This window comes from Homo sapiens, chromosome 2 (genome assembly GCF_000001405.40).
Source record: "Homo sapiens chromosome 2, GRCh38.p14 Primary Assembly".
Classification (NCBI taxonomy): domain Eukaryota; kingdom Metazoa; phylum Chordata; class Mammalia; order Primates; family Hominidae; genus Homo; species Homo sapiens.
Window position 1 is genome coordinate 205671681 of NC_000002.12, and position 12605 is coordinate 205684285.

The 12605-nt window shown below is 43.3% G+C and overlaps 1 protein-coding gene across 16 annotated transcripts in view, besides 2 other annotated features; it reads left to right on the top strand.

The window, feature by feature from the left end:
- Positions 6735–7934: an enhancer, noted in NCBI's record as "BRD4-independent group 4 enhancer chr2:206543139-206544338 (GRCh37/hg19 assembly coordinates)". NCBI's record gives its function as "activates an origin of replication core promoter dependent on BRD2, P300/CBP, MED14 and CDK7 cofactors, and independent of BRD4, by STARR-seq in HCT116 cells {active_cell/tissue: HCT116}" and the evidence as "EXISTENCE:reporter gene assay evidence [ECO:0000049][PMID:35650434]".
- Positions 10222–10341: a silencer, noted in NCBI's record as "silent region_12261". NCBI's record gives its function as "represses an Ori minimal core promoter by ATAC-STARR-seq in GM12878 lymphoblastoid cells {active_cell/tissue: GM12878}" and the evidence as "EXISTENCE:reporter gene assay evidence [ECO:0000049][PMID:35858748]".
- The window catches only part of NRP2 (neuropilin 2), a 115631-nt gene continuing 113846 nt past the window's right edge, over positions 10821–12605 (top strand). For 9 of the 16 annotated variants that reach the window (XR_007083522.1, XR_923057.4, NM_201266.2 and 6 more), the window contains exon 1: positions 10821–11683. Coding sequence is in view for 14 of the 16 variants with exons in the window: in NM_201266.2 (NP_957718.1) it covers positions 11611–11683 (73 nt within the window). In the remaining 2 variants the exon portion in view is untranslated. The remainder of the gene's footprint in view (positions 11684–12605) is intronic. The other 7 variants (XM_047446170.1, XM_047446172.1, XM_047446174.1 and 4 more) reach the window with 2 other exon arrangements.

Here is a 12605-nt window from a genome sequence, read left to right on the forward strand (position 1 = left end):
AATAATAACGACAATACAAATAAAGACCATAGAATGATACAAAGGCCTTTCAAAGATTTTTACACGTTTTTGTCTAAATAATAGTTTCAGAACCAATTTCAAGCAAATATACTTAATTCCATGTCAAACTAAACTTACAGGGTTGATCAGTTCTGGAGCCCTTAGTCATGTTAAAAATTTGGGCTCCCTTCAAATAGTGCCTTTTTTAGATTATTTACATTTTGATTCACAAAAATGTGATTTTCTATGTCATATCTCAAAAGTACAGTTTTGCATAAGCCAAGGTGCCCCTTAATGGAAACATGACTGTGTTATTGGTGCCTTCTGGATGAGCAGTTGCCTTTCATCTAGGGTGCCGGTTTACTGATGCTGCTTCTTCGTATACATGTGTCTGCCCCATTGGGGAAGGTGGGAGGGAATGGATTTAGAAGATTGGGTATAGCGCTGCTAAACTCTAAGTCAATTTGCCTGACCATGTGTTTTCAGGCAATTAAGGAAATACACTTGAAAGTTAACTCATAGGAATGTGCATTGGGCACTGAGCACGGTCCATTTACTCATTTCTTTCTTAAGGATGATGTATCATTGATTCCTCAGTGGGATCTCCTTGGTCTGGTTCTCCCATCCCAATGGATGTCAACAAGGCTTCCTGGAAAGGAAGGATGGAAGACTTGGGTCATCTATTCTCTAATCAAATGTATAATTAAAAAAATAATTTTGAGACTGAGAAGCCTACTACTTAAGCCGTAACTAAGGAACAAGTCTGCATTAAAGTAAAATTACTGGCATGCTAAAAAAAGGTGGCTTAAGAAATTAAAACTCGCAAGGTCAGGGGAATTTTTAGGGAGGCAGAATTATCTGGGTCCTCAAGGAAAAGAAATAGAAAAATTTCTGCACTAATTCTTTTATTTCTTTAAACAGTCTAGAGGTTTATTGAATTACAGTTATAAGTAAGAAAAAAGCAGTTTGCCTTTCTTGGGGAAGAATATTTTAAGCTCTTATTTTTTTTCTTTTAATATTAACAGAGTTTCTGAGAATTCTAAGGAAAGGCTTTTCCTAGTATCACAAAAAGAAAGGGCAATAAAGTTTTGAATTTGGTTTATATGGCTGGCATTTAGGAAGATATAGTAAATTATTCTGATGCATTGACTGGTAAGTTTTTTGGTGATTCGTATCAGGTTGCTGTATTTATTTTAAGACCTAGTGTATAAATCTCATTTCCATTAATTCAAAAAACATTTATCAAGCACCAATCATGTACCTGAAACTGAGTTAAACACGGCAATTCTCTGATGAGAGCAATACTACCATTTATTTAATGATAAGTAAAATCAAATAAAAACTATGCTACATTAGGCCCTTGCTATAAAAATTTAATAGAATCAGAGTTGGAAAGCTTAAAAATATTTTAGAGGTCATCTAATCTATGACAACTCATACACACAAAAGTATATTTTACATGGGACCCAGAACAGTTGTGTATGTTTATATGTATATTTTACATATATATATCCTTTTATATACATATTATATATGTATGGATATATATATGTATGTACAAACCAGTTTCATGAAACAATACATACTCTTATTCTGATTTATTACATTAAAAATGCTGATCACAATTCTCTAAATTGGTTTTATAACCCATTAACGAATGGCAGTCTGAACTCTGAAAAACACTAATGTGACACAACAGCATGACCCCTTATCTTAAAGATGAGATTGAGCCTGAGCCAGGTTACTTGCTTACATTAGAGCCTTGGTTAGTGGAAGGGCTAAACCAGATTTCCTGACTGCTGGTTTCCTGGTCTATCACATTATCTTATTTTCTTCTTAGAACTCATTATCACCATCTGAAATGATCCTGCTCATTGCTGTCCTGAGTGTTATCTGTCTCTCCCTTAAGGAAGTGAAGCTCCTGAGAACAGCCACCTTCACAGATGTACTGGCTGTTATTCCACTCATGCAGAGCTTGGCATATAGCATATGTTCCATACATTTTTTTTTTTTTAACAAGGAGGGCTGTAGATTCGACCCTGCTTTCTATCAAGTGTAGATTCGATTGAATAGTTTGGTAGGGTCATTGCTGTGGAATAACAACCTGCCTTTTATGAGGGAGGAAAAAGAAGATGAAACGATGTAGCCAAGGCGCACACAGCATCAACACAAAAGCCAGAACCGGAGTCTAGGTCTCTTGACCCCTGTTGAGGGCCATGAGTTCCCTATGATATGTTGTCTTATATTTTTAGTCTAATAATATTATTAAGTTGACTTGCCCCAGAATACTCCTCTCCCCTAAAGTGTAACTCTTTCATTTTCTTTTTTCTTTTTTTTTTTTTTTGAGATAGAGTCTTGCTGTGTCACCCAGGCTGGAGTACAGTGGCACGATCTCGGCTTACTGCAACCTCCGCCTCCTGGGTTCAAGTGATTCTCCTGTCTCAGCCTCCTCAGTAGCTGGGATTACAGGCACCTGCCACCACGCCTGGCTAATTTTTGTATTTTTAGTAGAGTTGGGGTTTCGCCATCTTGACCAGGCTGGTCTCAAACTCCTGACCTCAAGTGATCTGCCACCTCAGCCTCCCAAAGTGCTGGGATTACAGGCATGAGCCATGGCGCCTAGCCAACTCTTCCATTTTCTAAGGAGTAAGGGAGCTCAGTGTTGGAGAAGCCACACTATTTATGAGAATACTGTCAGTCAAATACAGCAAGAGGAACACATACTTCCAGGTGTGTTGAAAGGTCAAAAATTACATTTATTCCTTCTAAGTTATAATCAAATGAAATGAGAAATCAAATGGGAAATGTTTTCACATCCTAGATCCTTGCCAAATTCTAGCAAAGAAACACAAAGTCAAGTAAATATGTAATTTAACTTTAGGGTACTTTTTAAAGGGAAGCAAATTGCTTCTGGTCAGAGATTTTTGTTTGGACAAGTTTCCAGTATGAATTTTAAAACAGTTTAGAAACTCAACTCTGGGAATCCATGTCACAGAAAAAGGGAATGAGAGAGAGAGAGGTGGGATTAGAGACAGCTTCTCACTTTAAGCTACAGGAGAAACCTCACATTCTGGAAAATGACCACTGTTCAAAATAGGTCAAATTGCAATTTACCGTAATTCATCAAAACTCTAATGGCCACTGGAGAAAGCCCCAGTTTGATCTGGCCCAGGACTTAAGGGTTCCTTAGGGCAGGTGCACCCCAGGCTTTTTCTTTATAACCCCAGCATACCCAAAGTAGACTCTACCCATCTTGGATCTTCAGTAAATATATGAGTCTAACAAATGTGACCAAGAGCTGGTGCCTTTGATCCTAAAATAAAAGTTTTCACTGAATTTTGATGAGTAGCATTGGGCATAGAGTTTGGGGCAGCTTGGGGAGTATTCTACCTTCTGAATCAGATTCAGCAAATAATAAATGGAGGCATATGGTCCATGCTTTATCTGGTGACTCTAGACCAGAGTTTCCTAAAATTGTTGTCACTTTTTTAAAGGTGGGGAGGGAAAGTTTGGATTAGAAAGAGAGAAGAGGTTACTAGCTGAAAGTGATCATATTTATTGTGCTCTAGAAACGATTTCCCATTTAATATTATTCCAGCATAAATGTTGCCCCTGCATTCCATCCACAATGCAAAACATCAGGGAACAAGCTCCCATGAGAGCTTGTTTCTGCTTAATGTACCCTGGGGGAAAGCCTAGAAAACATTAAAGCAGTAGCTAGGCGCTTTAATGAAGTTAGCCTGCTGAAACCAGGGGAGGTATGCCCGAAGTACACCTGAAAGCACTTTGATTATCGCATCGGCTTCAAAAGAAGCCCCTTCCTTCGTTTTTTAGCTCTGCTGCCCTGAGAAATAGAATTACACCTTTATATTCAGGTTAATTTTGCTGTCTTGCTGAGGCCTGAAAGCATTTCTAAGCACTCTGAAGATGTAAGGGAAGCGGGCTGTTCCTCTCCATCCTGCCCGCCACGTCGCAAGCCCAAATGGACAGAGGGTGCTCAGAACCCTTCAGTTTGAAGCATGTCCTAAGAATGTAAAGTCCAGCACAATAAATGCCTTCCAGTTCTGAAAAAGATAACTTCCTACTTTCTGCTAACATTGAGTCAATCGGGTTCCACAGGTTTGCTTTAAAAAAAAACAAATCAAACCAAAACAAAACAAAACCTCAGATAATCCCTGGCCTTCATAAGCTATCCCTCCCCTAACACACACGCTGCCTTTAGCTTTTTAATATCATCACCTCGCTCTCCATTTCCTTTTGTTTTATAATGCTTGTGTTTCTTTCTTTCTTCGTCTTCCTCTTTTTTCCATTTTTCTCTTTGGCTGGTCTCTCTGCTTAGCATTCCTTTCATTTCCTTTTGCATCTCTCTTCCTCTAGGATTTTAGTTCCTCGTTTCTGCTTGTTGTTTCCTTTTCTGGTCACAGCTGCCCCCTAATGGTTTTCAAGATCATTACTGCTTTGGACTAGAGGAAAGAGGGAGGCAAAGAGCTAGAGAAGGAAAGTTAGAGAGAAACATAAAATGTGTCTTTGCTTTTAACTTTGCCATATCGTCTCAATATCTCTGGAAGAATATGCAAAACCTGCATCAATGGGGAAGAAGTGAACTGGAAAACTAAGGGACAGGTGTGAAGTTTGTACAGGATACTTTTTCGTGTAATTTGAATTTTTAAAAGATGTGTACTACTTATTTTCTTTTTTATTTAATTTTGAAATAAATAAATAGTATCTGAGTCTGGAGACTGAAAAAGAGACTGCCTCTATAAATGATTTCTTGGTTGCAGCAGGAAAGCAAGCGCCATGCCAGCCCCCTCCCCATCAGTGTGCTCATCCAGATACTAAGGGTTGATTGGCAGCTCAGTAAACTATGTAGGAGTAAATATGACGGAGGAGAGTGGGAACTAATGACTATGGTGGGTGTGAATTAACCCACCCTGGAGTCTCCTCAATAGCAAAAGGTCAGCTCCCTGACTACTGCCTTTCCATCAAGACTTTCACGCTCAAATTAGCAGCTATTGCCATCATAATGTAACAATCACCTGACATGTAGATGTCTAATTAAGGCACCATAAGTCACAGGTTACAAATTTGAAAACAGCAATAGCAACAATAAAAAAATCCCTTACAAATCTGTGGGGGATTTGATAGGGTACATATGCATGTGAATGAAGGCAAGGTAATGTGCACTAGTGGGTGGAAGATTCAAGTTTCCAAGAAAATTCATCTATGAATTTAGTAAGAGAATGGGAATTTTCTCTTCAAAATATTTCTGAATGATTAAAAATTTCATATCGTAGCCCTAAAATATCCAATTGCATAACCTATAAGTGCTATGACGTTACAAATACATTCTTGGCCTTTGGTTGTGATTGCCAAGTGGAATCTGTATTTTTTATGATAGGCTAGAAAAAGCCTTGTTGAAAAATATCTCCTCAAAAAGCCCTGCCAAGATGCCTGACATACTCATTAGCACTCGCTGTTTGGGAAAAGTACCCAATGCAAATACTATGATGATGGAATATCCATTGAAGCCCCATCCATGCATTAACAGTTTAAGGATAAAAGAGCATTAATTTCAACTTGCTTAGGTTGGCCTACAGAATTCAGACTAAAGCCTGTTTTAAATCCACGAGTGAGAATGCGATCAGGAAAGAGTCATAGCCAAAACTCAAAACCAGATAAGGTTAAAAATCATTCAAGTCAACCCATCATTCTGTAGGTGAGAAAAGTGGTTCCAAATTGGTTAACAGAATTTTCAAGGACACCCAAGTAGAGACTGAAGGTCCAGCTGCCCTGTCCTCAAGGCTTCTGCTGCCCCCACCTGCTTCTCCGCGGTGGTCTCCACTGACGAGTGGAGTTGAGGCCCGAAGCTGGGAGAGCATCATAAAGACCCTGACTCCTGGTGAGTGCTCTGGGAAAGTCATCCAAGAGAGCGTAGAAAGAACATGGGATGATAGACAATAATATGAATATAAGCTAGCTCTTCTCTTCCTTAACCAAACAGACAGTGAGCATTTTCAAATGCTGCCTTGGTAATCAGAACTTCTGCTGATACTGGGGTTCCTTTCTTGGCAAACAAGTATGGTAACCACAGAGATTGATAAGGGTGTGAATTTCTATGGGTTTCTATGGGAATTATTCAGCTCTGGTCTTTTGATTCTGAGGCTGAGTTGTCCAACATGGTAGCTGGTAAGCACATGCGGCAATTTACATTTAAATGAATAAAATTAAATACAACCTACAGTTCAGTGACTCACTCACACTAGCCACATTTCCAGTGCGCAGTAGCCATGTGAACAGCACAGAGACCACCGTCCTTGCAGAAGATTTAATGGAGAGTGCTGTTTTAAGGGAGAGGGTTGACTGGGTCTTTTTGATACGCTTATTGCCTCAAAGGTAGAAAAATTAATGTAGCATAGGAAGATCAGACTCATGCTAAAGCCAGGCAGACTGGAAGAAGCAATAGGGCTTCTTTAGGTTCTTTTTCCAAGGATTCCAGGGAGGTCTGAATGAATTTTGCACATTTTGCTGCTGCTTTTTAAATTTTGTTTCATAAGGGCCCCTCCTACCAGATCCAGTGTTTGTGTCTGAGGAAGAAATGAGATATACACCCAGTATGGAGTGAAGGAGATTTCAATACTTTATGGAAATCTGTAAGGATTCCAGAAACCCACCAAATAGAATATACTAGAAATATCAATTTAGAATAGAAATGTCAAATAGAAACTACTGGGCAATATTCAAGTGTGCTGGAAAAAAAAAAAGTTGATTGTTTAAAAGGCGAGTAAGAAAAAAAAAAAAACCCTTAGTGACCAGAAACCTGGACTTTGACATCAAACAAAAGAGAGAATAATAAATTAGGACCTATTCCATTTTAACTGAAGCTTTGCTTCTGAGACAGATGTAGCTAAACCTTAACTAGGGCAGTGTGTTAAATTACAGATTAAGATGCAATTATGCCTTAGATCTTTCCTTTTCAGGGTGAGAGCTTATTGATGTTAGGGCTCCGATAAGGGGAAGCACCATGTGACACGTGATATCTATTGTGGAAGCATGAAACTTCTGGAGCTTTTAGATCCTGTGTTCCCGAGAGGCAAGACCTAAATCTCTGTCTTGCTCGCATACCTCTGGCATAGTCATGCATCCATGAACATTTCGTAAGTACAGTGGGATGAACACAGATGGAAAAGCATACCTGAAACGAACCTCTAGTAACCACCAATGGTTGAGTGGGCTGGTGATGAAAGGTCTGGCTCCAGCTCATAAACCCATCAGCCGCTACTTTGAACATGTCCCTGCAAAGCTCCTGCCTGCATGAGGCGAGGCTTTTGGTGTTTTCAAATTGGCTCTCTGCAGTTGCTGCTAAAGGTCACAGGTAAATCTGGGAATTCCACCACTGCAGCATTTTCGAGAACTTGTTCTTGGTGGTTTTTCCAAGAAACCTGAAACATCTGCCCCATATTGAAAAGTACCCAGAGAGGAAATGTGAAGGAATGCTTGTCCAGGTTTCCTTCAACGGAAGAGCATTTATGGAAGGCTGTGTGTAAATAGAACACATCAGATCAGAAGTTCCCAACTACTGGTCTGTGGAGGCTTTGCATCAGAATCACCTAAGATGTGTGTTAAAAATACAGATTCCCAAAGACCACTCCAGACCCAAGGAATTTCACCTGCAGGAAAATGGTTCCCAGGAATCAGAATTTTTAACACTTCCTCCAGGTGATGCTGATATACCCTAAGGTTTGGGACTGTCTAGCTGGGAACACTTAACTTTCCACAGGGGTGTGGCTTGGTAACAGCTTTCTCTTAGCATCATTTACCAACCTGTTTCATGTTCCCCCACATCCCTTCCCGTCAAAGGAATGGAATGTGGAGTGGATTATCTAGTATTATTTTACAACTAAGGATAATGACATGAAACATCCTAGGTGAGTCAGTGATGTGGCCAGGAATCTCAGCTTCGCTAATTAGCTGTTATCTAGTCAGCTCAGTGTTTTTGATCACAAACCCGATTTTTGACACTGGCCTTTAGGTAGGCAGGCTTCCCTATGGGCCAGGGATGTGGACTCACAAAATACTGAAAAGCACGGTGCCTACCTAGCTCTTTACCACTATACCTCTGGTGGAAACCAGACCAACTGCAGTCAAACCCTGAGATCCCAGTCTAGAGGGAAACAAGACTGGCAGGTCTGAGCCAGTCCCAGTGTGAAGAATTTCCCTAAAGATTTGTTTTCCATGTGGCACATGTGAGATTTGTGTTTAGTTCCCAAGAGTCCTTGGAAGTCTTAGGTTAAAACAATTCTAAGCCCTCTCTGGGCCGGTGGGGTCTTGTTCAGAGTAGGCTGGGGAGAGATCGGCCTCACTCTGAATCTTCCCTGGTCTGATAAAGCACTTTGAACTCCTTGGAATTAAAAGCACCACCAGAAGTGTGACCCTGGGTGGTGTTACCATTATTTATTGAGTGCTGCCCCCTAGAGGATTGAAAAATGGTCTGGCCGCTTGAGTCCCCAGGGATGGAAACCTGAGACTCACTCTCTGTCCAACTGCAGGAAATGAGGCCTTCACTCAAGGGGAGTGGGAAGTCTTGCAGCCCTGGTACAGAGGACTCCCAGGAAGTAAGTGAGCGTCCCCTGTAGGACACCGCTGAAAAATGAAAAGTTACAGTGTAGGCAACCAGGCCAGGAACAAAACTGATTCTTACTTTTCTCTACTCTGGAAGCAGCCTGATGGGGACCTTCATCCCTGAGACCCCAAGACCAGAAGTCCAGGGTTGTCATTCTTATGGTTCTCCAGTGGGCTTAGGTTTACCTTTTCTCTCTTCTTTCCCCCTTTCACAGTGCCCTTCACCTAAACCCTGGCTACATTATTCTCACAAACAGGAGTCTCCCACATTGGGCACTGGCAAAAATGGTTTGGCATGCCTGGTGAGTGGTGGGGAGAGGTGATATTAAATGGCCCTCTCTATTCAGGGACTGTCACTACAGATAGCGTTCTTTGTCCTTAGATTAGCATCTTGGCAATGACATAAACCGGGATCTCTGCTTAAGGTTAATAATCCAAACTGCTCTTTTACTTTGTTAAATATTTAAGGCTTGGAGTCATTCTTTACAATTGAGCTTTAAAGAGGAGAAATGTAAATCTGGAGTTTTTAATAATGTGGATGTGCTCTCAAGCCTAGAAAGGAAGGAAGAAGGAAGGAAAGGAGGGAGGAAGAGGAAGGAGGGAGGCAAAGAGGGAATGAAAGGTAGCATTTAGGCTAGCCAAGAGACATGCTCCCTGGAAGAACTCAGAGGCCTCTGTGCTGTGCCTTTCCCAACCAGGCATCTGAGATTAACAGTGTGATACTCAGCCTGTGGATTTCCACTCTAAAATCCCGCGCCACCCCCCAACACAGCTTGGCTCAACTATTTGCAAATCACTTCTGATTCAATTTTGTTTTGGTTATCTCAGTGTAAATAACAGTTAAGTGGGAGTTACAGATTTTTCAAACACTAAAAGTGATAAAGCTAATGGGCAAGTCCAGATAAGGAGGGAAACCACCCAGAAGAATCCACAAGTACAAGCCAAGAAGAAAATGGGTAGTCAGGTGTGTGTTTCTCGTCACCGAAACTGTATTTTTCTTAATCTACAGAAAATTTTACTTTCTTAATTTAAAAAAAATCTTAATCTGTAAATATTTTTCTGAATTTTCTTATTTTTCATATACCTCTTTTGTGGCAGAAAAGGTGTACATGTGCAGGGTGTAATTTAGGCTGTTTCTGTTGCAGTCTTTATGATAATGTAGTAATAGGTGTCTGGTGAAGCAAGACAGTTTGGAATCCACAAAGCCATCCTCAGAAACAAAGATACAAGTGTTTCCCCAACTGTTAGCTTGCAGTTCCCTCTAAACAGTTTTCACGCCTCCATTTAAAAATAGTTGGCATAATGATGTTTTCTTTCTCTAGGCTTTGTGACCACGTTTCCATGGGGGAAAATGTGAATAGACGTAGTTACAGTAGCATTTGGATGAGACGCCTTCAAGCACCTATACTTTTTCGGGGGAACTTGATGGAATCCAATTTAATTACCTGAAGAAATTATTTGCTGAAGAAAGTCTTTCCTCTTTTTAGGGTAGTTACAGTTAAAGGCGCAGGGGTAACGAAATCCTAACCCAGAGAGGAGCAGAGCATGTTTGGGACATAACAAAGGATCTGAGTAGTAAACGCAGCGAGTGTTTGGGGTTTTATTCAGACCGGGCTGACGGTGTGTGTCGCCGCCACGCACCGCTGCCTGTTCGAACGCATGGCTGAGCTGCCGACCGGCTCGCTACCCCAAACACCGTACGCCACCCAACTCCTCTTGTAACGCCATCGCGCGTGGCATTGTGTTGGGTTCTGCGTGTGTGGCATCGGAGTCGTGGAATTTAGGGGGAACAAGGCTTTTCCCCCCGTCCCCCCGGGGTCTCCCTTGGGTGGGGGCGACACGGCCAAGGCGGCGCGCCCTGGGGGTGCCCGGGGGCGCTTCTTCCCCAGGGCGTTACGCACCGGCGGCCCGGCGCGGAGGTGCGCGGGGGCGATCGGGAGATGCGGGGCGGGCGAGGGGTGGTGGGATGGGCGCCGCCTTAACTTCGATCCTGCGGCGGCCCGAGAGAAGCCGTCGCCGCCCCGCCCGAGCTGGGTGCCGCGGCACTCTGCTCTGCGCCGCGCGTCTCCGCGGCTGCCTCTTTAATCAGGAACACAGAAGGGGCGGGCCCTGAGCCGGCGCGTAATCGGATAGCTCTGCCGCGGCTCTGACATCCACATGCTGCTCGGCCTGAAAAGGCAGTGGGGAGCCGGAGGGGAGGCAGAGATCGCGAGCGAGGCACCAGCCTGCAGCCGGCCCCCAGCACATCCTCAGCCGCACAGACACTCGGCGAGGTGGAGGTGAGGGCGGGCGCCAGCGAACTCGGAGAGGGGCTCGCTCACTCCCAGGCGATCCCAGCCGCCACCGCCGCCGCACCAGCAGCAGCAACAGCAGCAGCAGCTTCCTTCCTCAGACTCCCCTCGAGAGGCTGGCCAAGCGGGTGTAGCCGTTGGGGGAGGCTCCCGCCGGGGGAACCCGGCGAGGACAAGAGCAGGGCGGCCGCCTTCCACTCGGGCTGTCCGGCGGCGGCTGCCTCCGCCCGTGTGTCCGTCAAGGGTGCCGCGGGATGTGTGTCAGTTTACGCCTCTGAGATCACACAGCTGCCTGGGGGCCGTGTGATGCCCAAGGCAAGTCTTGGTTTTAATTATTATTATTATCATTATTGTTACGCTTGGCTTTCGGGAAATACTCGTGATATTTGTAGGATAAAGGAAATGACACTTTGAGGAACTGGAGAGAACATATATGCGTTTTGTTTTTAAGAGGAAAACCGTGTTCTCTTCCCGGCTTGTTCCCTCTTTGCTGATTTCAGGAGCTACTCTCCTCCTGGTGAGGTGGAAATTCCAGCAAGAATAGAGGTGAAGACAAGCCACCAGGACTCAGGAGGGAAACGCTGACCATTAGAAACCTCTGCATAAGACGTTGTAAGGAGGAAAATAAAAGAGAGAAAAACACAAAGATTTAAACAAGAAACCTACGAACCCAGCTCTGGAAAGAGCCACCTTCTCCAAAATGGATATGTTTCCTCTCACCTGGGTTTTCTTAGCCCTCTACTTTTCAAGACACCAAGTGAGAGGCCAACCAGGTAAGCCACTGAAAGTTTTTCTATTTATTGCAACATGGTTTCCCCTTTAAAAGTGACCGCTAAAGCAGGAAGGCCACGCAGAACGGCACAGAAGAAGGCTCCCTCAGTACTCAATAATTTAAAGAGAGATCCCAGCCGGCCCTTCCTACACCACCACGGCTGCTAAAACCCAACTTTCCTCTCCTGCTAGGAGTGTGTGTGTGTGTGTGTGTGTGTGTGTGTGAGTGTGTTTTGAAACAGAATTTGGCGGTGTTCATATGTCACATATGGACTGAATCAAAGGTTTAAAAATACTACAAAGCCTTTGCATTACAGTTTTTGGGAATTTTTTTTCCCTGTCTTGAAGCAGAACACATCTCCCTTGAGTTTCTCCAACTAGCCAGTGAAATATAAATCATTTGCATTCCCTCCACTTAGCTACATTGAGCAATGTTAACTGAAGGGCTTGGGAAAGACAAGAGTTTAGTTTTGGTTTTCAGATGCTGTAGATTCTTTGGAGAATGACTGGTTATGCTTCAGAATCATAAGGCTCAGGCTGGTGGAGCAAGTTGGCTTGTGGCTGAGATAGGGGCTTGGGGTTGGGTGCTGCTGGCAACCAAGACGGTTGGTCTCTTCTCTCTTCATCCATGTGTTGTCTGGGAAAGTAAATCGTACGTTCTTTTAGAAATTATTATTAGCTAAAACAAATTGCAGGCCCTCGAAGGTCTCTCACTCTTGTGAAGTGGTTAGAAACTTTTGAGTGGAATTTGTTCTCAACCACTGCCAAAAAGGGTGTGTGGACAGGCTGCTGTGGAGATAAGCATTTCGAGGCCCAGAACAGTCTGGGGACCGCATTTGTGGGGAGCGGCAAGGGGTATGCTCTGGAAAGGGGAATCCATGGGGAATGCAGTGGGGTTTGTGCTTCCTTCTCGGACCACTCTCT